The following is a 23,621-nucleotide window of genomic DNA, read 5'->3' as shown; positions in this document are numbered from 1 at the left end:
GTTTCCTGACGTCCAGTCAGCCTGGGGTCTTTTCCTAGTTTCTGGCTCTTTCTGAATGCATCTACCTTGTCTCTCTCCACTGCCCAGTGGCCTCTAGTCACCCCAACCTGATCCTCTGAAATGCAAAGCCCAGCAATCTCCCCAACCAGCAATTTCCCCAACTGGGTACCCCTCAAGCCTTATCTAAGCCTCCTGTTTATCTGCCTCACTGCTGGCTCCTCCCTGGCCCTACCTGTGGGGCTGCTCTTGAGGGCACTGTCCTGGCTCACCCTCCCATCCTGTTCACAGGTCTCTCTCTTCCCCCACAGGCCTCCACTGCCAGCCTATGGTTGTTCGCCACCAAGCCAGGAGTGCTGCACCGCCCAGTGGTCCCCCTCGGGCTCCAGGCCCCCACTGAGACCCTCTCGGAGGCAGAAGCACTTCACCCCTCAGAGTCCTACAAGTCCAACCAGTGGACCTGGAATTGGCCAAGGGCTCAGGAGAGGGCTGTGTTGCTCTCTCAACCATGTCCGCCCCAGCTCTTGAGGCTGGATCTTTCTACTTGTGCCACTATGGGCACTAGGTCTGTAGGTCCCTGGTGCTTCCAGTACTGCACTTTGCCCCCAAGGTCTTTGACTTCATTTCCTGAAGGGTCACCAAGGGTCAGCTCAGGGCTAGGAAAAACCATTTCCAGCCTTAGCCTAAACAGGGCACATAGATCTCTCCCACTAGAGCCCAGAGGGATGAGAGGAGAGAGCAACTGTTCTTTCTTTTTTTTTCCCTTCCTTTTTGCAGGCCCATGGTCAGCTCTGGTCTAGATGTATCTAGGCTTAGGGAGCCCTGGGACCCTGCCAGTCTCAGTTCATCTCTTACCAGGAGCAAGGCCCTCTGAAGCATGGGCCGTGCCAGCTGTGCCCTAGTGATAAGGGTAAGAGGAGAGATGTCAGGCTCACTGCCCTTATTTCTCTGCCCATTTCATTCTAGGCTCACACTGTCCTTGTCAAGGTGGGCAGAAGAGCAGAGGTCTTCTCTGCACCAACCACTCTCTGCAGATGGCTGGAGAAAGGGTGTGCCAACTCTTCACCTTCTTTCCTCAGCTACGGTTTTTTTTTTTTTTTTTTTTTTTTTGGCAGGGGACAAGGAGCATGGTGGTCTTGGCTATTTGCTTACCTTCCCGTTTCTCCTCTGCCCCTGGAAGGGAATGTGGGGGCCCACTTTTTTGTACATGTACCACCTCCCTTTCCTCTTACTGTACATAAACCTCAGACTCTCCCCCTCTCAACAAAGGCTTGATGCACCAGGCCTGACTTTGTCTCCTCTTTCTGAGCTTAGGGGGCTAGGGTGGCCATTTAGTCTGACCTGGGCTATGGGGATAGAAAAGAAATCTTTGGGGCACTGCATCTGTTTTGGAGGAGATGAGATCAGAACTCTGGGGAAAGGAGAACCGGCTAGGTGGGCTCTAGCCACACAAAGGGAAGCAGGCCTGCCATGAGACACTAGTGCCCTCTGCTGGGCATGTGTCCAGTCCCCAGCCTGCCCCAGTAGCACATGGAAAAGAGTCACTGGCCATGTTATAAATATTGTTATTTAAAAAACAAAAAACAAAACACACGTACATTAGGTCCTGGGTGGAGGAAGAAGTGGTGGAGCCTCAGGGCCAGGGCAGGCAGGAGCAGGCACTGATGCTAGAGGGTGATGACCCTGCCCTCTGCCACCCAGGCTGCGTCCAACAGCCTGTGACTCTTCCCTGGAGACCCCTTCTCTCACACTTTTATCTACTGGCATCACCCACCCCACATGGCATATACCACCCATCTCTGGTCTGGGGCTGAGGGCAAGGACTGCACTAGTCCAGGGAGTAGGGGACCCTTGAACACCAAGAGCAACCTTGAGAGGTGCCAACAATGGTGTGCTGGGGGTGGGGTTACTTTAGAAAAAGTGGACACAGACCAGACTAAGGAAGAAGTCTGAGGCAGACGGTGAGGGTGGCCCAGGAGCCATGGCCTCACACAGACCCGAGGCAGAGAACAGCTCATTGGGTCACTGGTGATCATCCAGCTGCTGTAGGAGTGTCCGCCGCCGCCTCTCCAGCTCACCCTCACTCAGCTCACTTTCTGACGTGTCCCAGCCTGTCTGTTGGAGCAAAGGCACAGTTCACCCTTAGCCTGCACTAAGGGCCGTGGAAGCTTGACCAGCGTGCTGACTGGCCTAGGGCCCCTGCCCCTCACCTTCTCCTTCTTGATTCCAAAGCCTGGGGAACGGTTAGGGAGCTCTGCCTGTTGGAGCTCCCTGTCCTTGTCCTGTTCTTGTTCTTTCTCATCGCTCTCCTTGCCAGCTTTCTCCTCAGGGTCTGTCTCACTCTCAGGACTATTCTGTAAGAGTCCAGAGCCCACCTCCTCAGTTCCTGTGGATAGCCTGGGAGGCAGGTAGAACAGAACTCACAAAATAGCAGGGGCTTAGGTAGAAGTTCCTTCACTCACCGACTTGTGTCTTCTCTTCTTAGTTTTCTTTTTTGGTTTCTTGGCTTTCCGAAGGCCATGATCTAGAGATAGAAAAATCCCTACTAAGTCCCAACAGGAGAAAGACAGGCTCTTTTTCTTTGTTCTAGCCCCTCTGTTCATTCTTCACAGGCAGGAACCTCATGCTCTGAGGAAGTCTAAGTCCAGTTTTCCTTCTCCAGCTTCTTGCTTGGGCAGGTAGAGGAAGTTCTTTCTACTTCCACAGGTGCAGCCCTCCCAATCCAGTCTACCCTCAAAGGAGCTGGGGCTTGTGGAGGGCATCCTCTCAGTCTGGGACAACAGTTCTCCAGCTTCTACGCTCACAGCAACTGCTTACCTGCTCCAAGAAGATGGGAGGAAGGGGAGCCCCGTCCTCCAAGGGCAGCACCCCCACTTTCAACTGAATCAAGTGAGGAAGAGGGCTCAGAGCCTGACTCTGAGGGGTTCCGCCTCCTCCGCTTGGGGGGCCGGAGAGATGGTGGGGGCAGCTCCTCTTCTTCTGACTCAGAGCCCTGGGCAGATCAGCAGATACATGTCAGTGCAGAGGTTCTCTGCCCTCCAGAAGCCCTCGTCTGGGAATTCGAGAGAGGAGGAGGACCCAGGGCCAAAGGAATCCTCAAACTTCCCTCCAAGGGAGATATTGTAAGGGGAAAACAAAGTGTTTATTTCCCCAAAACAACCCAGCTTCACCCCATGTCCCTTCTACACGCTTACTCACTGAGGGTGAGTGGGAACGCTTGTGATGGTGCTTCTTGCCTTTCCTGCCATGCTTTCGGCCTTTGGTGTGGAGGTGCTGGCATTCAGTCTGCTAGAGGCAGAGGAAGAAGGGTGAGGACAGCACCAGACTTAGCCCCAGGAAGGATCCTACTTCCTAAAATCTGGCTTTGCCTCCCTTTCTCAGACTAGAGCCTTCTGCCTATCCCAGGGATCCTCAGGCCTCCCCTTCCTTAGCTGGCCAGGAGTGCCCTAAGGGTAAGAGGGAGGCCACTGAGGTCTCTGTTGAACTGGTCTAATGAGTTCAAGGGCCTGAGGCAGATCCAGAGGACAAGCCTGCCTCACCTCCAGCACCTGTAGGAACTCCCGGAAGAGCCGGATCCGCTCCGACTCCAGGGTGATCTGCTCAAAGGCTGAGTCACACACAAAACGCTCACGGACCTTGAACGAGGAGAGCACTGCTGATCAGACTAGGCCCCACTCAGCCTGGCCTGGACACCGCCATGAGCACAGGGCAGGGCTGGGGCAGAGAAAGGAAGGGAACTGGAGCTGGCCCAGGGCTGTGACGTGACTGGGGTGGGCCCTCAGTGGTGAAGCACCGCTGCCCTCAGGCTTGAGGGGTGCTTGGGGCCAGGCTACGCTCCTGACCTCTTCCCAGGCAGTGCCTAGCTCCAGAGCAGGCACAGCCTGCCTCAGCATGCTTCGAAAGGCAGCTTCCCTGCGCCGCATCCTGCGTGCCTCCTCCTTCTCCCGCTCCCTCTCCCGTGCCTCTGCTTTCTCCAGCAGCTGAGGAAAGAAGGGACACGGAACAGGGTCACCCAGGAGGGTGGATGCCAGGTCCCACTCAGGCATACCTTAGGAGGTGGAAAGTTAGGGTCTGGGCTTCTACCACCATCCCCTGAATTGGGAATATAGTCAGTGGGACAGTGAGTGAGAAGGAATGGAGCAAGACACAGATGAATTAGAGAACTTCCCACGCCCCGCCCAGCCCCTCACACTATTGAAGGTCAGCTTGATGTTGCCTGCGTCCAGTGCGGCAGCCCTCTTGTCAAAGCTTATGACGTGGGCGAAGTCCTCAAAGGCCGTGTTCACCTCCACGCAGAAGCCCCGGTCCTGTGGGTACAGCAGTGCATGAAGCAGGGGCACCACGTGCCTGAGGCCAAAGCTGGCAGGCAGAGTGGTCACATTACAGATGGTCAAGAAGGCCCTTGCCTCTGGAAGAGATCCACAGGACTGTGGTCTGCATTAGAAACCAAGTTATCCAAGTCCTCATCACTTGACAATTAAGCCCCCATGCCTACCCTTGGTTTGGATGTCACACAGAGCTGAAGGGGTTGGGAGATGTCTCCCAACTGCTGATTAATGCTGAGTTTCTCAAAATTAACTTTTGTTCCTTTGGCTTAAAGCTCTGGCCCCAGCTGGGCCCTCCTGCTGCTCAGCAGTGCTTCCATGCATTCTCAATCAACATTTGCTGGCCCCTACCCTTTGGGTCTATTTATTGAGTGCTTACTATGTACCAGGTACCATGATGAGTGTTTCACACATTATCTCATTTAATCCTCTTGGTTCTACATTTAAGAATAGGTCCTAGTATCCTAATTTTACACAGAAGGAGAAACCAAGGTTCAGAGAAACTAGAGCACTTGCCCAAGGTCTCACAGCTGATATACGGCTGGGCAAGAACCCTACCCTGGGGGGGCTCTCTATCCCCAAAGTGTCTGCTTTCAAGCACCACACCCACCCAGATGACTTAGTCCATGGGAGAAACGGAGGCCACCAGGTGTGCAGCTCCCCACCAATACTAAAAACATGTCCACAGGCCAGGCTCTATGCTTCTCATTTAGGCCTCACAACATTCCAGTGAAGCAGAGGCTTAGAAAAGTGATCTCAGTTGGCCCAAGATGACATGAGTGGTAAATGAAGCCACTGGAGTTCAAAGTCTGGCTCTCACGTCAGTTAAGCACAGGCCAGATTCCCTTTCTCTCCCTCCACATAGCTCTCACCTCCTCTGGCCTTTTTGCTGATGGCAGAGGTGTGCTCCTCTTTCTTCTTTCCAAGGGTACTTCCTCAACCCTGCTACAGTCCTTATCAACACAGCATTCATTCTCAGGGAATTGAAAGCTCCAAGTCACCCTTGTTACTGGCTCCTTCCATCAAGCAGACACCTCACCTAACCTGGAACATCCTTTCCACCATGCTCTCCCCTTCATCAAGCTAACTACCTCTGCTCTTTTCCATTGTTTCAAAACCTCTTGAAATGCAGCAGAAAGGAAAAGGAATAAACATTTATTGAGAACCTATTAGACACTTTACAGATGTTATTTAATTCTCACAACCTTACCTATGAATTATCCCTGATTTACAGGTGAGCAAACAGGCTCAGAGACACGGAACTTACGGAGGTCTCAGAGCCAATAAGCAACCAGGAGTAATCTGACTCTAAAACATGTGCTGCCCCCATGCCACCTCCATGACTCTACTCTCCCAAAGGTTGCTTGTGTCTACTAGCCAAATCCAAGGCCGCCTTCTTTGTCCTCACTCATCTGGTCCTCAGTGCCTCTACCACTTACTTCTTCAACACTCCCCTCTCCAGGTCACACCCTCTCTGACCTTTTATTCTCTTGCATATGCATGTTCCTGAGAACAGCACTTAGTCCTCTTTCACTACCCAATCTGTACTCCCTCGCAATCTCATCCTTCATCTCTCCTGATTTTCAAACATCCTAGACTGGATATTTCAGACACTTAAAATTCAACAGATCTCAAGAGAATATATTTCTCATGAGCATCCTCCATGGATCTCCCTGACCCGGATCTGTCTGCCTGTTCTAAGTCCAGGGCTCTTTGCATTATCCTATGGGATGAAAGGCACCATCATGGTCTGCCTGGCTGTGGAAAGCAAGAGGGACTCCTGGGCTCATCTGCCCTCCATAGGCAGGAACCCAAATGGGGAAAGAGGAAGGGAACTGTCTAAAAAAGTTGCTTTCTCAGGTTGTGTGGAGAGACAGGACTCAGTGAGGATAGGCCCCTACAGGCCTATCAACCAGCCACTCTGTGGCTAAAAGTTAATTGTCCAATAAAATTTAGCTATCCCAGGATAAGGCATTTCTACTTTATACGATTATTCTGTTTTAAAATATATTTGCTTTGAGAGTAATTCCCCAAATAGAATTCCTATTTTCTACAGCCTTGCTCTTCTTGTTTTATCCTTATCAATAGTGCCATCATCCACTGCCCTGACACCTCTGATTCCTTCCTTTCCCTCCATTTCACAAAATCTATCAATTCTACTTAGTGACTCTATCCCACTGGTGTTGAATTCTCCCTTTTTTTTTTAAACAGCAGAAACAGTTTATTAAAATAGAAATCTTATGTAGAACCTTTATGCATAAAAAAGATTCAAGCTGCTTCACTTGAAAACAGGAAGCAGCACCAAATCCCCCCATACTCAACTCCAACCCTTGCTTGTCTCAAGGCACCTACATAGAAACCCAGAGTGTCTCAGAAGAACAGCTGGAGCGCTACAGCCTGCTCTCTTCTGCTGTCCCCACTGCCCCCGGCTAGGATCACCTCCTACAAGATTCCTGCACAGCCTACTGACTTTTCTCCCTGCTCACCCTCTTCCATCCCTCTAACCCAGCTCCTAGCATCTAGTGCTTCTTGGACTTTTGTACCAAGTAGCCCCAACAGTAGGAGAGAGGTCTGGGGATAAGTGAAATGAATATGACTATTTGAATTACCACTATCAGTTTTAGTATCTTGAGGCTTCAAGAACTGCTCTACCTAGCACCACCACCTTCCCTAAGGACATAAGTACGTACTCTAGACTGAAAGGTTCTACTATACACCATCTAATCTGATCATTCCCCGGTTCCTCATTACTTACGAGAGAAAAATCCAAATTTCTTATTTTAGCATTCAAGGCACTTTACATGCAGGGCTCTACTTCCAAGCTGGGGCATGTGGTTCCAGAGAAAGAGAGGATACCTCAGGACAGTATGATACATCTTACCTAATGGTAAGTAATTTAAAATATTAAATTTATATTAAATAGGTAATATGGTGTTAAAATGCAACACCTACGTGAATTTGTAAGGCAAAACAGTACTTCAAAGAAATGTATATGCAGTGAGACATTTCTAGCTTTATTTCCAGATCCCTTTCAACCCAGGTACCATTTAATCTCTGTAATTAGGTGTACTCTGGTGGAACACTCACCATTTTTTAGATGAGGAAACAGGGTCAGAAAGGTCAAGTGACCTATCCAAGGTCACACAACTAGCAAGCAGTTAAGCTAGACTTTTACTGTAGGCAGTCTGCCTCCAGTCCCGCTCCTAACCACTGTACTGTATTATCTCCTCAAATGCATTAGAATCTTCACTTCCATAAAGAAATATGCTCTTTGTTTTTTTCTTTTGGAACACAAGGTTTAGTCCATCACTCACTCACTTTTCCACTTTTGATAAGATGTAAATATTGAGAACTATTTCTCTTCTCCAGTAGAAGAAGAGCAACAGGCCATGTGTGATGGTAAATGGCAGCTGACACTTGCGACAGTATCAAGAAGGCACTAAGGAATGGTGAGAAGGATGACTTGCCCTTTCTAAAGTGGCATCTCAGCTTGAGTCTGCAGAATGCCTTGCAAATCCAGCTCAGTACTGCTAGATAATCCATATTGACAAGAGAAGCTAAAGATTCAGATTTTCTATGTGAAGTTTCCTGGTTTTAAAATGTTAGCAACAAATTCCAAATTTTTACAGAACACTGTACAGGCCAGAAAGAACAATCTGTGTGCTACCAGTTTACAATTAGCTATGCTTCTTCCTCCTCAGACCTGGCATGCCCTTTCCACCCCCTTGCCTTTGCTCTTAGTACCCCGTGTACACTCCAACCTCTTCCACCTACAAATTTCTAAATGCACAGTTCAAATGTTAGTTCTTCAGATTCCTGTCTCTGTAATAACACTTGCCCCTTTGTATAACAGTTCTCATGTATATCTTCCTATTAGACCATGAGCTCCTGTGGTAGAAATTGTGTATTCATTACTGTATCCCTAGTGTGCAGTAAAGGATCACAGTAGATATCTGCTGAACCAAGCTGTAATGCTTCTGCAAAACAGGACTTATCAGGGAGTCCTCTGCAGGGAGTGTGCCCTGCATCCATCCTGTATCCATCCATAACCCCAGCCTCCCTCACCTTAAGGATGTCCTTAATGATCTTCTTTTCATCATGGAATCGTGCCTTCAACTCCTCCACATAGAACTTGAATAAGTCCAGAGGGGTGGAGCCTGTAAGGAGGGAGGGAGGGGGGCCTGGCGGGCGGCAGCTTCCCAAGGCCTGGGGGCTGGGCCGAGGACAGGAGCCGGTAGTAGGGGGTGCAGAGAGGCTGGCAGGGCAGGAAGCCAGGCCAGAGAAGGGGGAGCCTGGCTGCCTTACCCGGCTGGCCCAGCATGTTGGCAAAGCGGACATCAGTGCTGACTGCTGGATATAGCTCCATCCAGGTGGACATAGAGTGCAGCTGCCCTGTCTCATGCAGCTCGTCCAGGAAGGTCTGAGCAGGGAGAGGCCAGTTATAGGGAGAGTGAGACAGGGAGGCAGAGCCACAGACTGAGGGGGAAGAGAGGGAATGGCAGAGGAAGAGGCAGGGACAATCAAGATTGAGGAAATGCAGGCAAGAGAGGCAGAGATGAAGAGATGCAGATGGAAGGCTGAGAACAATGCAAAAAGAGAGAAAGTAAATACACAGAGAGGGACAGAACAAAAAGGTGAGAACAAGCCAGTCCCGGGATGCAAAGAAACAGAAACCTGCCTGCAGTAACCCCTAGCACTACCACCACCACTGCCACCCCCAAGCTGAGGGAATAAACTCTGCCTGTCGGGTGCCCCACCAAGGGAAATAAACATGGCCTAGCTGCCAAGTCATGCCTGTAGGGTGCTCTCTACTGGCAGTTTCTGGGTGGTGCATACATCTAGTCTCCCTAGAAGAGCACAGTCCAGAATTGAGGAGGTACAGCAGAAACAGACTGCAGGCAGAGAGAGGTCTCATAGAGCTTGGACAGGGCTAGGCACAGAAAGAACAGGCAGCGTATCCAGAAGGGGGCAGGGAATGGGTGAAGAGGTTGTGCTCTAGGGCAGAGCTGAGCTCTGATCTAGAAAGGACAGCAAAGATACCTGGAAGGCCTCCCGATTCTTGCGTTGTTGGCGTCGCTCCCGAAGCCGGGCCCGCTCCCGTTCCTCCTCCTCTTCCCTCTCCAAAGCTCGGATGTGCTCCTCAAAACAGATCAGTGCATCTTCCTTGTCCATGTCTAAAGACAGGCAGGAGGTTCCGCGGGCATTGTCCCAGCAGGATACCCTCTCAGACCCCAGCACCCCTAATGTTTCAACGATGCTGTCCTACAGGTGCTAGGGATACCCAGGGTGGTGGGGGAAGGGCCTGGAGGGGGCTCTGTGGGAGCAGCCACTGCAATGGTAGTTCTTAAGAGGGGATCATTAATTGTATAAGAATAAATAAGCAAGTATTCAGCTCTTGTGAATTCAGTTATTAGAAGCCATAACATGAAACCGGTTGTCTTGGGATCTGAGGTTTCACACCTTAGGGAACTGGGAATCAATCAGGCTTTGATGCAATTTCAGAAAGTGAATTTGAGTATCATCAGTAATTACAGGCCAACAACAGTCTATTGTAACGTGACCAATTAAGGCCTGTAGTTCTATGATGCTTTAAGACCATATTCACATGAGCTAAAATCATCATTGACATCTCTAGGACTTAAGATTCCTATCCCAGAGCTCTTCCTCCAAGGACACAAAATGTCTAGGCCAAGAGTGGACCCCAGAGGGAGGGGTGTCCTGAAACATTCTGGTATCCCCGGAGTCCAAAGAGGTACAAGGACTGGGTGAGTGTTGAGTACTCCTAGGGTGTCCGGGAGGGCAGGAGGTACAGGGGAGTGGGGTGAGGCAGACTCTGGGGTCCCAGGTCCAGTAAAGAAAGGGAAAGGGATAGCTGGGATTGGAGGCCCAGGCTTACTCTGCAGCTGATGGTCCTGAGCAAAGCTGGGGTTATCCATGAGGTACTGCTGGGCCTGGGACCACGTGGTTTGGAAGTTGACACTACTCATCCCATCCAGGATGCTCTTTAGGGCCTGGATATTGCGGCGCCGGAGCTGCTTGGCCTGTTCCTAGGGAGCCACAGGATCAGGGTGAGGCAGGGCAGGCCAGAGCTACCCAAGTAGGCCTGGGCAGAGGAGGACCTGGGGAAAGGTAGCTAGGGAACCCTAGGAAGAAGGCCATACTCAAGACTTTCATGTCTCAGGGAAGGGGAGGGAGTACAGGTTACAGACCCATCTCTCAGAGACTCCTCCTCCCTGCTACACCCAGGACTATAGGCCCAGAGCAGAAATGAGATGTGCAAGTCCCATACCAGCTTCCAAGTCAGAAGCTGGGACACTGGGGAAGTAGAGAAGTAAATGGCGAGGGTCCATAACAAAGCAAAGACAAGGAAAGTCCAGGATGAGATGGGCTGAAGGATTCTGCCCAGGGACCATTACCTTCTCCTTCTTGGCCAGGAAGAAGAGGACATCATCATAAACCTCTTTTCGATCCCTCTCAGGGACCACAGCCCAGACCTCCAGCTCCCCAAAGGTCTGTTCTGCCCGCCTGTGGAGCATATAAGCTGTGAGTAGGTAGACAGAGAACAGAGACCCTGGACCTTTGTGTTCTCAGGGTTCCCAAGTCCCAGCCCAGCCTGGCCCCCTGACCGGTAGCGGGTGGTGGAGGTCATGCGTTCATGCTGCTCCAGGAAATGCTGCAGGGTCTGCTTGGCCTCTTTGGCCCTTAGCCGGGCCTCCTCCTTCTCCTCCTTCTCCCGCTGCGCCTTGTAGGCATTGAATGCCTGCTTTTTCTCACTCAGTTTAGGCAAGGCACTGGGATAGAGGGTAGGAGTGGGGTGGGGATAGAGAAGTCACCCGAACCACTCTGCACAGCCCACACTGGAGGGTCATGAGACACTGCAGGCTGCAGGGGCTCCAAGGGCACAGATGTCTGGGATCTGAACACCATTCATGGAGAAGTAGGGGTGACAGGAAGTGAGGGGAAGAGATGCAGCTCCAAGACACTGCAAATACTGGGCCCTTTTCCTTTGGGGTTCTCAAGTCACCCTATCCAGCACCCTCATTCCCCAATTAATTCAATTCCGTTTGATTCAATTCAGGAAGCATTTATTGAACGTGTTGTGTCAGATACCTTTCCTTTCCTTCTCCTGGAGGCCCTCCAGCTTTTCTTCCCCTTGCACCCCAACCCAATCTATCACTGTCCTGACTCTGGTTCCCTTAGGGCTGAGTGTTGAGCTGGGGTTTTTTAGGGAGTCCCTAGCACAGCTGCTCTCATGAACAGGGCCTGGCTCCCTCTGCCCAGGCCTACCTGTAACGGGGGTCGGTGACCACCATCTTCATGGCCTGTTCCCATGAGGCATTGGAGGGGACAGCCTGGAATGAAGCAGGTGGGAGTCATGGGGCCTGCCCCGCTCCAGCCCCCTCCAAACCTTCCCTGGGAGCCCCACTCCAGCACCTTGTCCCTCAGCAGTTCCTTGAATGCCTGCTTTGCCTTCTCCCGGTTGCTCCAACTGAGGCCAGACCTCTCTGGTTCTGGCTTTGATTCCTCCTCCTCCTGCTGTGGCTGATGCTGTCCAGAACTGGAGGGCACAGGGGACTCAGCCACAGGGTCCCCCAGCTCTCACAGCTTTCAGTGCCCTGAACTCCTGGCAACATATCACCCCCTCCTTGTTCCCCAGGGCAGCCTTTTTCTGCCCTTCAGAGGTCACACCCAGATCTTCAAACCCCTCCTGAGAGAGAGGCCCAGCAGAGGACAAGGGTTGAACCAGGCTGGGAGTCTGAGGCCAACATTGGGAATGCCATGGGGGGCAGCCCTCACCTGCTGGGGCCCTCCTCCAGCTGCTGCAGGAACCCCTGTTCCAGGGGCTGGGTGGCCTCCAACACATCACAATCTTCACTCCCACCTGGCTCAGGTTCCAGGAGGCCTGTGGGCACTGGGGTGGGGCCAGGAGGCACAGGTGGGGGGTCAGGCTGTGGCTGAGGTGGCTGTGGCTGAAGTGTCTGTGGCAGCTGCTGCTGCTGTTTCCTGCAGATGAGCCAGAAGGGCGGTGTCCAGGAGGAGAGCAAGAATGGAGGACTTCAGGGGCTGGCTGGTTTCTCTATCCTGGGAAGGACTGGGGCCAGAGGGGATGACTCCACAAGGAGACAGAGCTGGCTCTTCCTCCCACAGTGTAGAGATCATGGCGACAGAGTCTACTTCCACACTCCAGGTGCCCCAACTATAAATGGATAGGTGGGCAAGTCACTCACCCTGCAGCCTCTTGTTTGACTAGAACTGTGATGGGAAAAGATAACACAGTCAGTCACAGGGGCAATAGGGAGCCCCCAGAGCTCCTGACCTGGCCCACCCGTAGGACATCTCACCCTCTAGGTCATCCAGATCCTTGGGCCGGGTCCAGCGGGACTCTTTACTCTGGTTGTTATAGTAATAAGGTTTGCCTGTGTCCGACTTGTACTCTTTCCAGGGACATTGGGACAGGAGCAGCTGCAAGTGGATGGGATAGGAGCCATCAGTGGGATGGGCAAGTTCTCCAGCCAGTCAGGGGAGCTAAGGGGACCTAGTGAGTAGAGGACACAGGAACCTTTAGCTACCACCTGGCCTGGTTCAAACTGGGGAAGGTGGACTTCTTGAGATCCTATGGAGGCATTTCCAGGGAGGGTGAGGAATGGTCAGGGACCTTGGGATCAGAGGAACCATCATGAATATGGTTAGAGACTAAGGGAAGGCCAAGGACTTGGAAGGGTCAGGGCAGCTGAAAGGAAGGGCCAGAAAGCCCAGCTCAGGACCTCTGCCTTGGACTTGAGCACGCTGGGCTTCTCCCACACGGACTGCTTGTCGTCAGCATTGTAGTAGTAGATGCGCCCATCTGGGGCCACATGCTCACTCCATAGGGCCCTCTGGGTGGGGGGGGGGGCACAGAATGGTGGTCAAGGCCCCTTTTCCAAAGCCTCTCCTCACCCCAAAGATTTAACTATCAGTCCCCCACTCTCAGGCTTTCTACCCAGAGACCCCTGAGCTGGAAGAACTCACCGGAGGGCCTGTCCCAGCCACAGCAGCTAGAAAAAAGCCAAAGGATACATACTAAGTCCTTGCTCCGACCTCCATCTTATTCCCACCTATGCCTCCCGTATTCCAGCCCCAGTAAATAGTCCCCTGGTCCCATCAATATCCCAGACTCCTTGGCATCCCAACAGGCATGATCCAGGGTGGGCTCCAGTCCACGGTCCCCTCTCCCCTATGCCCCCCAACCTCCGAGCCTGGGGGGAGCAGGCCCCCAGAAGACTCACAGCTGGCGGTGTCCGCACCCGGAGCCGTCTGCCGAAGAAAGAGGAGGGGGAAGGGTTGGGGCCAAGCCCAGTGGCCCCCAGGACCCAGGCCATGGGGGATGGAGAAGCAGGCCAGGCCAGAATCCATGTGTCCTGCTCCTAGAGATCTCTGCTCCCTAACAGGCTTCCCCCACCCTTCAGGGCCATAGCTCTGGGATCCCAAGGGAGAATCGCATAGCAGCTCCATTCTTCGTTCTCCTCAAGTGAGAGTATTTTGTTGAGACAACTCCCGAGGCTCATTCCTTCACAGTGGATGCCAAATTCTATATCCTACCCAGACTCTGCTACACTGAGCGATAGCATAAGAAGGCACAGCAAGATCCCCAGGTGCTACTGACTCTTCTGGGGACAAAGAGGATGTGAAGAACTATATTCATGTGTCCACAGTGTGTGGCTCTGTGAGGATAAGTGTGCTCCTTAAGGGAGCTGGACAAGGCACGTGAGTAACAAGAGAATGTATATGCCTTTGGGGATGAGTGGGAAACTAGAAGAGCTGAGTACATGGCTGGCGAGAAGGATTTGAGTGTGGGGAGTGCTGCCGGGGACCTGGGTGGATGCGATGAGAAGAGGGAAAGAATGGAGGTCATAGTCCTGCATTCCAAGTCAGACTCACGGGACTGCAGGGCAGAGCCTGCTACCTGCTGGCCCCTAGTGCTTACCGCTGCGGTGACAGGCACCGCTGGCATCAGCATTCCTGGCATCATCGGAGGTACCATTCCTGGTATCTATGGATACAAAGAAGACAGAAACCAACCACCAAGGTAAGGGCTGGAACAGGAGGGACAGGGTACCTCAAAGGGTCCTGAGACATCTCACTGGAGCCATGACCCTCACTTGGGCACTTCCTCAGGCAATCCCCAGATTCTGGCCTCTCACCTTGCCTGAGAGTTGTCTCAGTCATTCAGCAGACAAATCCACATGGGTTTGGCCCAAAGCTCCCTTCCTTCCCCAGTTTCTGAGGCCTACATGCCCGCTCTTATCTCCACCCCCAGCTAAACTGACAGGGTTTTCTGAGGCCCCAGGGGAGGAGAGACAATTACCTGTGTGAGTGGTGGTGGCGCCCCCATTGGTGGAAGCATTGGGGGCAGGATGCCAGGTGGCATGGGGGGGATAGCTGGTGGTCTCTGACTCATGGGGGGTAGCCCCATCGGAGGAAAGGGTGGGGGGATCCCTGGAGGGGGCATCTGGAAATGAGTAAAGGAAGAGATACTGAGCAGGGAAGACATCGCCTTGTCAGAGGTAGAGAGGACCTGTCAGGAAATATCCACCACCTCCCTCCCCAACCCTCCACCCTGCTCTGAGGCAATTCCAAGGCTTTAGTTTGAGAAGCACAAGGCATGAAACTGCCTCCCTCCTCACCACTGAGAAAGACTGACAACTGGGGTCTAACAGGCAAGCACACAGCTTCTTAATTGTAACGGGAAAGGAAAGGAATAAGGGAGGTTTAACAGCACCAGACTGAGACTGGAAGGCTCCACCTCTTCAGCAATTCTCCCCCAAAGAGGCCTCTCAGATGAAGGGGCAGAAGGCAGGTATCCAGGTACCCAAGTACCCCAGTCCCCTGCCTCCCATCCCTTTCTCTCCAACTCATGACCACCAATGCCATTCCAGCCCGAATTCTGTGGCATATTTAAAGAGCATAGGTAAGGAGTAGTGAAAGAGATAGATAGTCCCACCCTGCCCTCACATTAATGGGGTCTTTTCCCTTCCACTTCTCCTACCTCTAGCCCCAGTGTGTCCTAAGGTCAAAAAGACAAAGGGGGAATTGTCAATGTTATGTACTGAGGGCTTCACAACAGCTCTCCCCAACCCAATGCTCAAGTAAAACCATCCCTCTTCCAAGGTCAGCAAAAGGGGCATTACAGGAAAACTGTGCTGGTGATGCAGCAGTGGCTAGGGGCTGGGGAGTTGGGGGTGCAGGCTGGAAAAGCCAAGCCCAGGGAAAGACATAAAACTTACGAAGGGTGGTGGCATCATGGGGGGCCCCGGTGGGAAGGGGGCAGGCGCTGCTGGGGGCCGGGGACCAGAATCGGGAACCGACTGTTGAGGGAGAGAAAAGTCATAGGACCCAGGATGGGCACAGAGATGGGCTTTTTGCAGAAGGGAAGCAGAAGTGGTGAGGATGAAAAAGGAGCACAAAATTCAGGAGGGTCTTCAAGCCCGATTTCCTGCCCACCCCAAGCCCTTAGCCCTTGGTAGGTTTGCTCTCTCTTGTGCTTTTGCTCTCTCTTGTGCCAGCTCAGAGCCAGCTGGCTGAGCCCCTTGAATGTCATCTTTATTTTGAAAGTTTCCATTTTGTCAAAGCAACAGAAAAGATGAAGGAGGCTTCACTACAGGCACAGACTGGCTCTACCTAAGGCTTCTAATCCATTATCCTGCCTGTGGGCAAGGCTGTGCCTCTCTCAAATAAGTTAGAGGTCTCTTTTATTCCCAAAGTATCTAGGGAGGGAGTCGCCTCTTTTCTAGTTCCCCTAATTATCCCAGTTACAGAGATTCAGTCCAAAGCTCTCTCAACACAAATAGTCGCTAGTCCTTTAAAATGCTTGTCTCCCTAATTCTCATCTCTTCATGACCAGCTTCCTCCCCTAACTGACCTCATCCTTAGCCACCTACTTTCTTTGACATCTTCCACTTCCAATCGCCAACTTCATCTCTTTGGCTTTATCTCCATCCCCTTTTTGGTGTCCATCCCCTCCTCTACAAATCCTGAACTATCTCCCTGTGGATGTAGGCTTTGAACAGCTTAGGTTGCCCTGTCCTACCCCTAATGGCTGTCTGCATCCCATCCTTTAGTTCTCAGCTTAAGTATCACTTATTTTAAGACAACTTCCTGACTGTATTTAAAGTAGCTCCTTCCTATTTCTCTATCTGATCCCCTTTTTAGTTTCCTCATGTACATAATTTTGTAATTATTATGTTTGCCTGGATATGTTTTCCCCAACAAGAGTGTAATAACATTCCATGAAGACAGGGATCATATCTGACTTGTTGGAAGCTGTATTCCTGGTACCTACCAGCATCTGGCACATAATAGGTATTCAGCAAATATTGAACGAACGAAGAACAAACAGAACAAATCTCTATATAGAACCTTCTACTTCTAAAAATTAATTTTATAGGTATAGCCCTACATGGCCAAAATGCTGTATGTTTAAGGTTTTCATTTCAGTATTATTTGTAAAAACAGAAGATTGGAATCAGCCTAAATAGCCACCAGTAAGGAGCTATGAAATTATATATACACATAAAATGCAGTGCTATACAGTTATAAACAAGAATGAAGAAGCTTATTGTCTCGATATGATCTCTAAGATGTATTAACAAGTGGGAAAGAAAGCAAGGTGCAGCAAACTTTTATCATTTGTATAAAAGTCAGAGACAAAAGATGATACACAAGAAATGGTAGAAAGGGACAGAGATAAAGGGGAGACTTTTCCCTGTATGGCTTTTGTATCTTTTGAATACGCAGCCATATGACTATATTGCCCATTCAAAAACAAACAAACTCACTGTAAGTGAACCGAGGCTTGGAGATGCAGCTAAAGGGCCCAGCCCTTCTGCCTCTTTGCCTGAAAGTTAGGGGGTGATAGGGAGGAATCCCGGGGAAAGGTGGTATCTGGCTGAAGAGAAGGTACCTCACTGCTGCCAATTTCCCCTATGTTGAGAATGCTCAGCATTTAAAAACGCCCTTCATGTCTGCCTTTAAAATATCTGTTCCTGGCTGGGCACGGTGGCTCACACCTGTAATCCCAGCACTTTGGGAGGCCAAGGAGGGCAGATCATGAGGTCAGGAGATCGAGGCCATCCTGGCCAACACGGTGAAATCCTGTCTCTACTAAAAATACAAAAACAAAATTAGCCAGGCGTGGTGGCAGGCACCTTTAGTCCCAGCTACTCGGGAGAGGTGGGAGAATGAGGTGAACCCAGGAGGCGGAGTTTGCAGTGAGCCGAGGCGCCACTGCACTCCAACTCCAGCCTGGGCGACAGAGCGAGATTTCGTCTCCAAAAAAAAAAAAAAAAAACTGTTCCTGGCCTGGTGCGGTGGTTCACGCCTGTAATCCCAGCACTTTGGGAGGCCAAGCGGGCAGATCACCTGAGGTAAGGAGTTCGAGACCAGCTTGGCCAACATGGTGAAACCTCTACTAAAAATACAAAAATTAGCCAGGTGTGGTGGCACACGCCTGTAGTCTCAGCTACTGGGGAGGCTGAGGCACGAGAACTGCTTGAACCTGGGAGGCGGAGGTTGCATTGAGCTGAGACTGCACCACTGCACTCCAGCCTGGGTGACAGAGTGAGACACTCTCAAAAAGACAAAACAACAACAACAACAACAAACTGTCCTTCATCTTGTCCTAAGAAGAAAAGGGTATGAGCTAAACCTCTCCAATGTGACTCATCTTTTCTAAGTGCTCAACTGCTTTAGTTCTGTATTCAGACTTGCTCTTGCCCCTGACGCTTTCCTCAGCATGGGAAGTCAGAAACTAATCAATAGTGGAGGAAATACAATTTTCTGTGTCACACTTTCCCATCTCAAGCTGCCTCAGGAGCCTCTCTAACATCTTTGGGTCCTACCAGGCTCCAGGGGAGCCTCAGAAGCGTCTCAGAGACTGGCACCACACCATTCAATTGTCCAAATGGAAACCTATGAGTCACTCTCCACAACTCCCTCTTCCTTGCCAATAAATCACCAAGTCTTGTTAACTTTACCTCCTCAAGATTTCTTGAATCTATCCATTTCTCTCCATTTCCTTTTCCACCACCCATCTTGCCCAAGCCACCATCTTTTTTCATCTAATTGCAGTGGCCTCCCAACTGTTTTCCCCACATCCACTCCAATCAGCAGCTATAACAAGCTCTTCAAAGTGCACCTCAGACTGTTAGCCCCCTGCTTAAAACTCTTCAATGGCTTCCCACTGCTCTTAGGGTAAATAGTAAACCCCCTACCCAGTACTATGAGGGGGTCTGCTACCCAGCTACCTTGCCAATCTCCCCCATGCTGAGCTCCTGGGTCTCAGTTCCAGCCCTACTCACCTTCTCTCAGCTCTCCCACCTCAGGCATCCACCTTTGCCTGAGAAAACTGGGTTGGCCCTGCCAACCCCACACACCTTGCCTACTACACTTCACATCTACCAATCATTTCTTCACGAAAGCTTTTCCCAACTCCCTGAACTAGTCAGAGCCCGCTTTTATATACTTGTACAACACCATGTACCTTCTCCTTCGGCAATTATCCATTAGAATTTTATAGTTATTTGTATAATCCTGATTATATTATTTTTCTATTTGGCATGAATAAAAAACAAATGCTGCCAATTAAATTATAATATCCTGTCAATTTGAAGATGCATCCTGACTTGACAAATGTTCAAATATGAGTCTCAGAATTAATGAAATATAATATCCGTGGCCCCTACTAGACTGAAAACACTGAAGGGCAGGGACTTCATCTGTTTTTGCTCACCTCATATCCAGTTCCCATTGTGTTTTCCTTACCACCATCTATGGGTACAAACTAGGTGCTAATAAGTATGTGTTAACTGAATGACTAAATGGTCTTGGCAAGTCCTACAAAACAGTAGGGGGCCACTGGTAAGTTAGGTCTAGTAGTTATTCAGGGAACATAGAATGTCAGAACTGGAGGAGACTCTGGCAGTCACCCAAGGTATCCCCCTTTTTCAGGGAATAATCTGTCCAAGGAGCCACCACTGGTTAGGGACAGAACTGGGACTGGATCCAATCTGCCCTCTAGCCCTCCTCCCTTAAAAGCAAAGCTCCTACCACATGAAACAGGTCTGTTTGCAATCTAGTATATCCCCTGCAACCTAAGTGGTTAAATCACCAATGATTCAACGTTTTATTGAGAACTTACCGGTTCCCGATTGCCTACCCTACAAAATCTTTCATCTAACAGTCAAAGCCTTGCAACGAAGGCCGCCCCACACTCTTCTTTGCTCATCCTGACTCAATGGCTTCCCTCCTCCTCTCTTTGCACAGAATTGTTAGATTACCCTCAAGTGAAACACATTTCTTTTATTCTACAGTCTCATGCTTTGTTCAAGATGATCCAATATTCACCTCCTTCAGGTTACCCTTATGACTATCCCACACACATACACACACTCCTACCTGTGTCCCTTCAGGATAAATGATGCACTACTTTGCAGAGTGACATGCTACTCTGTGAATGTTTGCTGGGTGTTTCATGTGGGACTGCTTGTCTCCCACTCATGTGGGGATTTCCCTACATTCAGGGATTGAGTTTTCTCCTTTTATACCTCCCCCAAGTGTTTAGTCAGGGCCCTGCACACAAAGTGCTGTGATAAAATGCAGTCTCATCTCTAACCTTATTAGATTTTTGCATACTGGAATATCCTAAAATGCACTTTGAAAACAGTGTATACACGTGTGCATATGTACATCTGTATAAATTCTCTGACATACAGGCTGTGACAGAGAGAGGTAGCTTGGCAGAAGTCTTTGTGGCTTGGAAAAAGGAAATTGGATTGAAATGTTGGCATGAGAAAACCTAATAAAGCTAACTGTATACAGTCATCTTCAACTTGGGATGAAGACCTCTGGCCAGGATTCAGACACTGGCCTATTCTGGACAGTTCCCCACAGAGGACAGAACAATGGAATAAACATAAACTACTACAGAACTTCCAAAGCCCTTCCTTCGCTGAGCTTCCCGTGTTGTGTCCCTGCTTTCCTGAAACACCCCGTCCCTCTCCTACCTGCTGCAGTGCCATAAAACTTTGGGTCTTATTTTATTTCTGGGTGAGAATATGAAGACATTAACTAGTGACAGGGAAGGATATAGAAATGGTTGCTGAAAGAGAAGCAGATCCTGTGTCTTCCCTGGAACAAAAACACATTTGTGGGCTGAGAGATGATGAAGAGACACTTGATCATCTGATCATCATATGTTCACCTGGGCCAGTGAGGGGCCACCCCTTTCCCACCACCAAAGATGCAATCAATACTTCTGGGACTTCACATCTAAGGGGCATCTCAGAACTTAGCACTCAGAAGAATAAAAGGAGAAAAGGACAAGAATGGAGAGGCAGTAGGAAAAAAAACAGAAAGAGGGAATGATAACAGCTAATAGCTAATATTTACTGAGCACTTATTATGAGCCAGATACTGTGTCAAACACTCATTTAATCCTGGCAACCATCTCAGAGGTTATTATTCCCATTTTACAGATAAAGAAACTGAGGTTCAGAGATTAAGTAACCTGACCAAGGTTCCAAGACATTAAATGGGAGAGGCAGGTTTGGAATCCAAGCAGTCTGACTCCAAAGCCTGTGCTTTCAACCAGTTCACAAAGCTGCCTCCCAGCAAGGATGATGGCGCCACAGATGATACTGCTTACATTCAGATACATTTCCTTTTTTCTTTTTTAACCCCAATCCTTACACAATCCAGAAATCCTCAGCGAGCCAGGTGTTCCCAAGGTCTGCTTGGTCTGACTCATTCCCACTTCCTGAAGATGAAGGCTGGGAGGCACATCTCTCAGAAAGTGGTAGCCATCATCAAAAAAAAGGCTGAGAGACCAGCTGGTTACCCTGTGATCTACCTGCGGCCCTTCTTCAGCTGCCCCAAACAGCACCTGCCCTTCCGTTTCAAAGACCATCCTAGTTTCCAACTTTCCTGGACCAGCCCTACTCTTCCTCTTGCTCCCCAAAGATCTGCCTTACTAGAAAGTATCTTCCTGTTGCTTTTTTTTTTTTTTTTTGAGACAGAGCTTCGCTCTTGTTGCCCAGACTGGAGTGCAATGGCGCGATCTCAGCTCACCACAACCTCTGCCTCCCGGGTTCAAGTGATTCTTCTGCCTCAGCCTCCAGAGTAGCTGGGATTACAGGCATGGGCCACCACGCCTAATTTTGTATTTTTAGTAAAGACAGGGTTTCTCCATGTTGGTCAGGCTGGTCTCCAACTCCTGACCTCAGGTGATTCGCCCGCCTCGGCCTCCCAAAGTGCTGGGATTACAGGCATGAGCCACCGCGCCCGGCCCCTGTTGCTTCTTTCTGATCCTGCCATCTCATCACTCTCCCTCTGAAGAAGCGAATGTTACTTTTGGTCTCCATCATTGTGGAGTTAGGTTTCAACCTCCTCCTCTCCTTAGAGTTCTTCCATCCCTCCAACAGGATAAGGCTAGCCAGCCCCAGCCCGGCAGGCTTTCTGTCTACCATCCCCCCGCACCCGTGGGGATTTCTCCAGCCCCAGCCCAAGGCCTCGCCTCCATCTTCATCCTTTCCTTTGCTTCCCTACCAAACCCATTCTCCTAAACTTCCTCCTCAAAAACCTATTCATTTAGACCCTGGAAGAGATCTGGGATTTAATTTTCATGCATTTCCTTTTTAAAAAAATTGATGGGAAATCTGAGGCCCAAAGAAAGGTAGTGACTTGCCCAAGGTCACACAGAGTCGTTAGTTTGTTGATGGCCTGGGCTGGGAGCCCCTTTCTTCAGAGGCCCCCTCTCCACCTCAGGAGACAAGCTCTTGCAAATGCAGGAAGGTGAAGCAGGGAGTCCCCAAGTGGTCTGAGGAGCACCCAGGCTTCCAAAGGGAACGGGCGCTGGGGCTGGGGGAAGGGCATGTCGCACACCAAATATCCCAGGAGGGGAAACTGGTCCCCACCTGTCCCCTGGTCCCCTCAGTCCCCTCATCTCCGCCCTCTCTCTTCTTTCCCGATCTTTCTCCGCGAACCCACCCCCACCTCTCCCAATCCCACTCTTCACCCAGTCCCGCCACTCTCGCACCTTTCGCCCCCGGCCAGGCTCCATCATGGCCTCCCCCGCCCCTTCGCCCCCAGTCCCCGCCCCCATCCCCCCTCCCGGGCTCTCTTCCCTCACCCTTGGCCTCCCTCGCCCTCCCCGGGGTCCCAGCTATCCCCAGCGGCCTCCCCGCCCCATCGGCCACGGCCCGGGCCGCAGGGGGCGCTGTGGGACCGCCCCGAGCCCCTCCACCCCCGCGCGGGGATGTTACCATGCCAGAGCCTCCGAGCAGCTGGGCCGGCTCAGCCCACCCGCCAGTAAGAGCCGCTCTGATTGGCCAGGCCGCAGCCGGGAGGGCGGGGCCGGCGGGGGGTCGCACCCCTTCGTGGCCGGGGCTCCGGTGGCTCCCGCCGGCGAGCGGGGCCCCAACCGGCCCGGTGTGTTCGGTCCCGGCCCCGCCCCCCCGGCACGGAGAACCAGGCCCCGCCCCCGCGCCGCCGCGTCCCGGGTCCGCCCCCCGGGGGGCGGGGCACGCCTGCTCCCGCCTCTGACTGACGGTCGGGGGCCGGCGCCTCTGCCTCTCCCCGCTGCCTGCGTCCTGGCTTCGCAGTCGCCGGCGCTCCAGGAGCCGAAGCGTTCACGCAGTGTGTAGGGTGCCTTTGCGCTGCACAGCGAATTTAATTTGCTGTGTAGCTCTTTTACAGTACTTTTAAGTTAGTTAACTCCAGAACTATTTGTTGAGCACCTGTGAGGTGGCAGGGTCTGTCTCAGGGACTGAGCACACAGCAGCTTGGAAAAAAAAAAAAAAAAAGACAAATCCCCGAAATCACGCCCTTGTGGGGCGTACACGTGCTTCTCGCGTGACCCTGAAGTTCACTTTTGGGACCTGGCTCCCACTGAGCGCTGAACTCATGAGAGCAGGGCCCACTCTTTGACAGAAGTTAAAAATGTGAGGTACATGCTTGCTGTGCGGCTGAGGAAACTGTAACCTGGAGCTCTGCGGGGAATGCGCTGAAGGCCTTGGGGCTGGAGAGTGACAGGCCCCAGGCACACGGGTGCAGAAAGGCGCTGACCGCCAGCCTGCAAAGCCCCGCAAAAGGCGCTTCCTGTTCCCTTTATTCCCCCCTCACCTGAGCCGGGACTCGCGTGATGCCGTGCTAGGTTCCTGAGAGCCAAAGAACTCCGGAGAGGTAGAAAAACTCCTGACACGAAGAGTTAGAGGTGACACCTGGGAGGAAAAGGAAGTGGGATTCACCCTTGTGGGCTGCTGTAGA

The 23,621-nt window shown here is 51.3% G+C and overlaps 3 protein-coding genes across 29 annotated transcripts in view, besides 2 other annotated features; 2 read left to right on the top strand and 1 right to left on the bottom strand.

The window, feature by feature from the left end:
* Positions 1-9,713, top strand: part of FMNL3 (formin like 3) — a 70,907-nt gene extending 61,194 nt beyond the window's left edge. For all 3 annotated transcript variants that reach the window (NM_198900.3, NM_175736.5, NM_001367835.1), the window contains one exon: positions 309-9,713. In NM_198900.3, the coding sequence (NP_944489.2) occupies positions 309-397 (89 nt within the window). In that variant the 3' untranslated portion in view covers positions 398-9,713. The remainder of the gene's footprint in view (positions 1-308) is intronic.
* On the bottom strand, positions 1,547-23,566 carry PRPF40B (pre-mRNA processing factor 40B). 24 transcript variants are annotated; one of them, NM_001363607.2, is made up of 26 exons: positions 22,619-22,651; positions 15,587-15,667; positions 14,668-14,811; positions 14,287-14,352; positions 13,589-13,616; positions 13,332-13,357; positions 13,088-13,198; positions 12,665-12,785; positions 12,551-12,575; positions 12,120-12,326; positions 11,757-11,880; positions 11,610-11,674; positions 10,949-11,113; positions 10,739-10,847; positions 10,219-10,369; positions 9,363-9,496; positions 8,628-8,742; positions 8,388-8,479; positions 4,188-4,304; positions 3,840-3,977; positions 3,537-3,632; positions 3,196-3,285; positions 2,815-2,989; positions 2,460-2,521; positions 2,208-2,351; positions 1,547-2,112 (listed from the first exon to the last, which is right to left on the bottom strand). In NM_001363607.2, the coding sequence occupies exons 1-26, from the start codon at positions 22,619-22,621 to the stop codon at positions 2,020-2,022; spliced, it is 2,682 nt and encodes an 893-aa protein (NP_001350536.2). In that variant the 5' UTR covers positions 22,622-22,651; the 3' UTR covers positions 1,547-2,019. The 24 variants fall into 24 exon arrangements, with proteins under 24 accessions (NP_001350536.2, NP_001026868.2, NP_001365959.1 ...); NM_001031698.3 differs by having other exon boundaries at positions 3,196-3,282; NM_001379030.1 differs by having other exon boundaries at positions 3,196-3,282; positions 11,610-11,644.
* Positions 22,436-22,935: a silencer, noted in NCBI's record as "silent region_4441". NCBI's record gives its function as "represses an Ori minimal core promoter by ATAC-STARR-seq in GM12878 lymphoblastoid cells {active_cell/tissue: GM12878}" and the evidence as "EXISTENCE:reporter gene assay evidence [ECO:0000049][PMID:35858748]".
* Positions 23,454-23,621, top strand: part of FAM186B (family with sequence similarity 186 member B) — a 39,886-nt gene continuing 39,718 nt past the window's right edge. Inside the window, exon 1 of one of the 2 annotated variants that reach the window (XM_047429639.1) lies at positions 23,454-23,537. The gene's annotated coding sequence lies outside the window, so the exon portion shown is untranslated. The other variant, XM_047429640.1, reaches the window with a different exon arrangement.
* Positions 23,516-23,605: an enhancer, noted in NCBI's record as "active region_6320". NCBI's record gives its function as "activates an Ori minimal core promoter by ATAC-STARR-seq in GM12878 lymphoblastoid cells {active_cell/tissue: GM12878}" and the evidence as "EXISTENCE:reporter gene assay evidence [ECO:0000049][PMID:35858748]".

This window comes from Homo sapiens, chromosome 12, assembly GCF_000001405.40.
Source record: "Homo sapiens chromosome 12, GRCh38.p14 Primary Assembly".
Lineage (NCBI taxonomy): Eukaryota > Metazoa > Chordata > Mammalia > Primates > Hominidae > Homo > Homo sapiens.
Note: the sequence above shows the minus strand (reverse complement) of the source record. Positions and strands in the feature narration are given on the sequence as shown.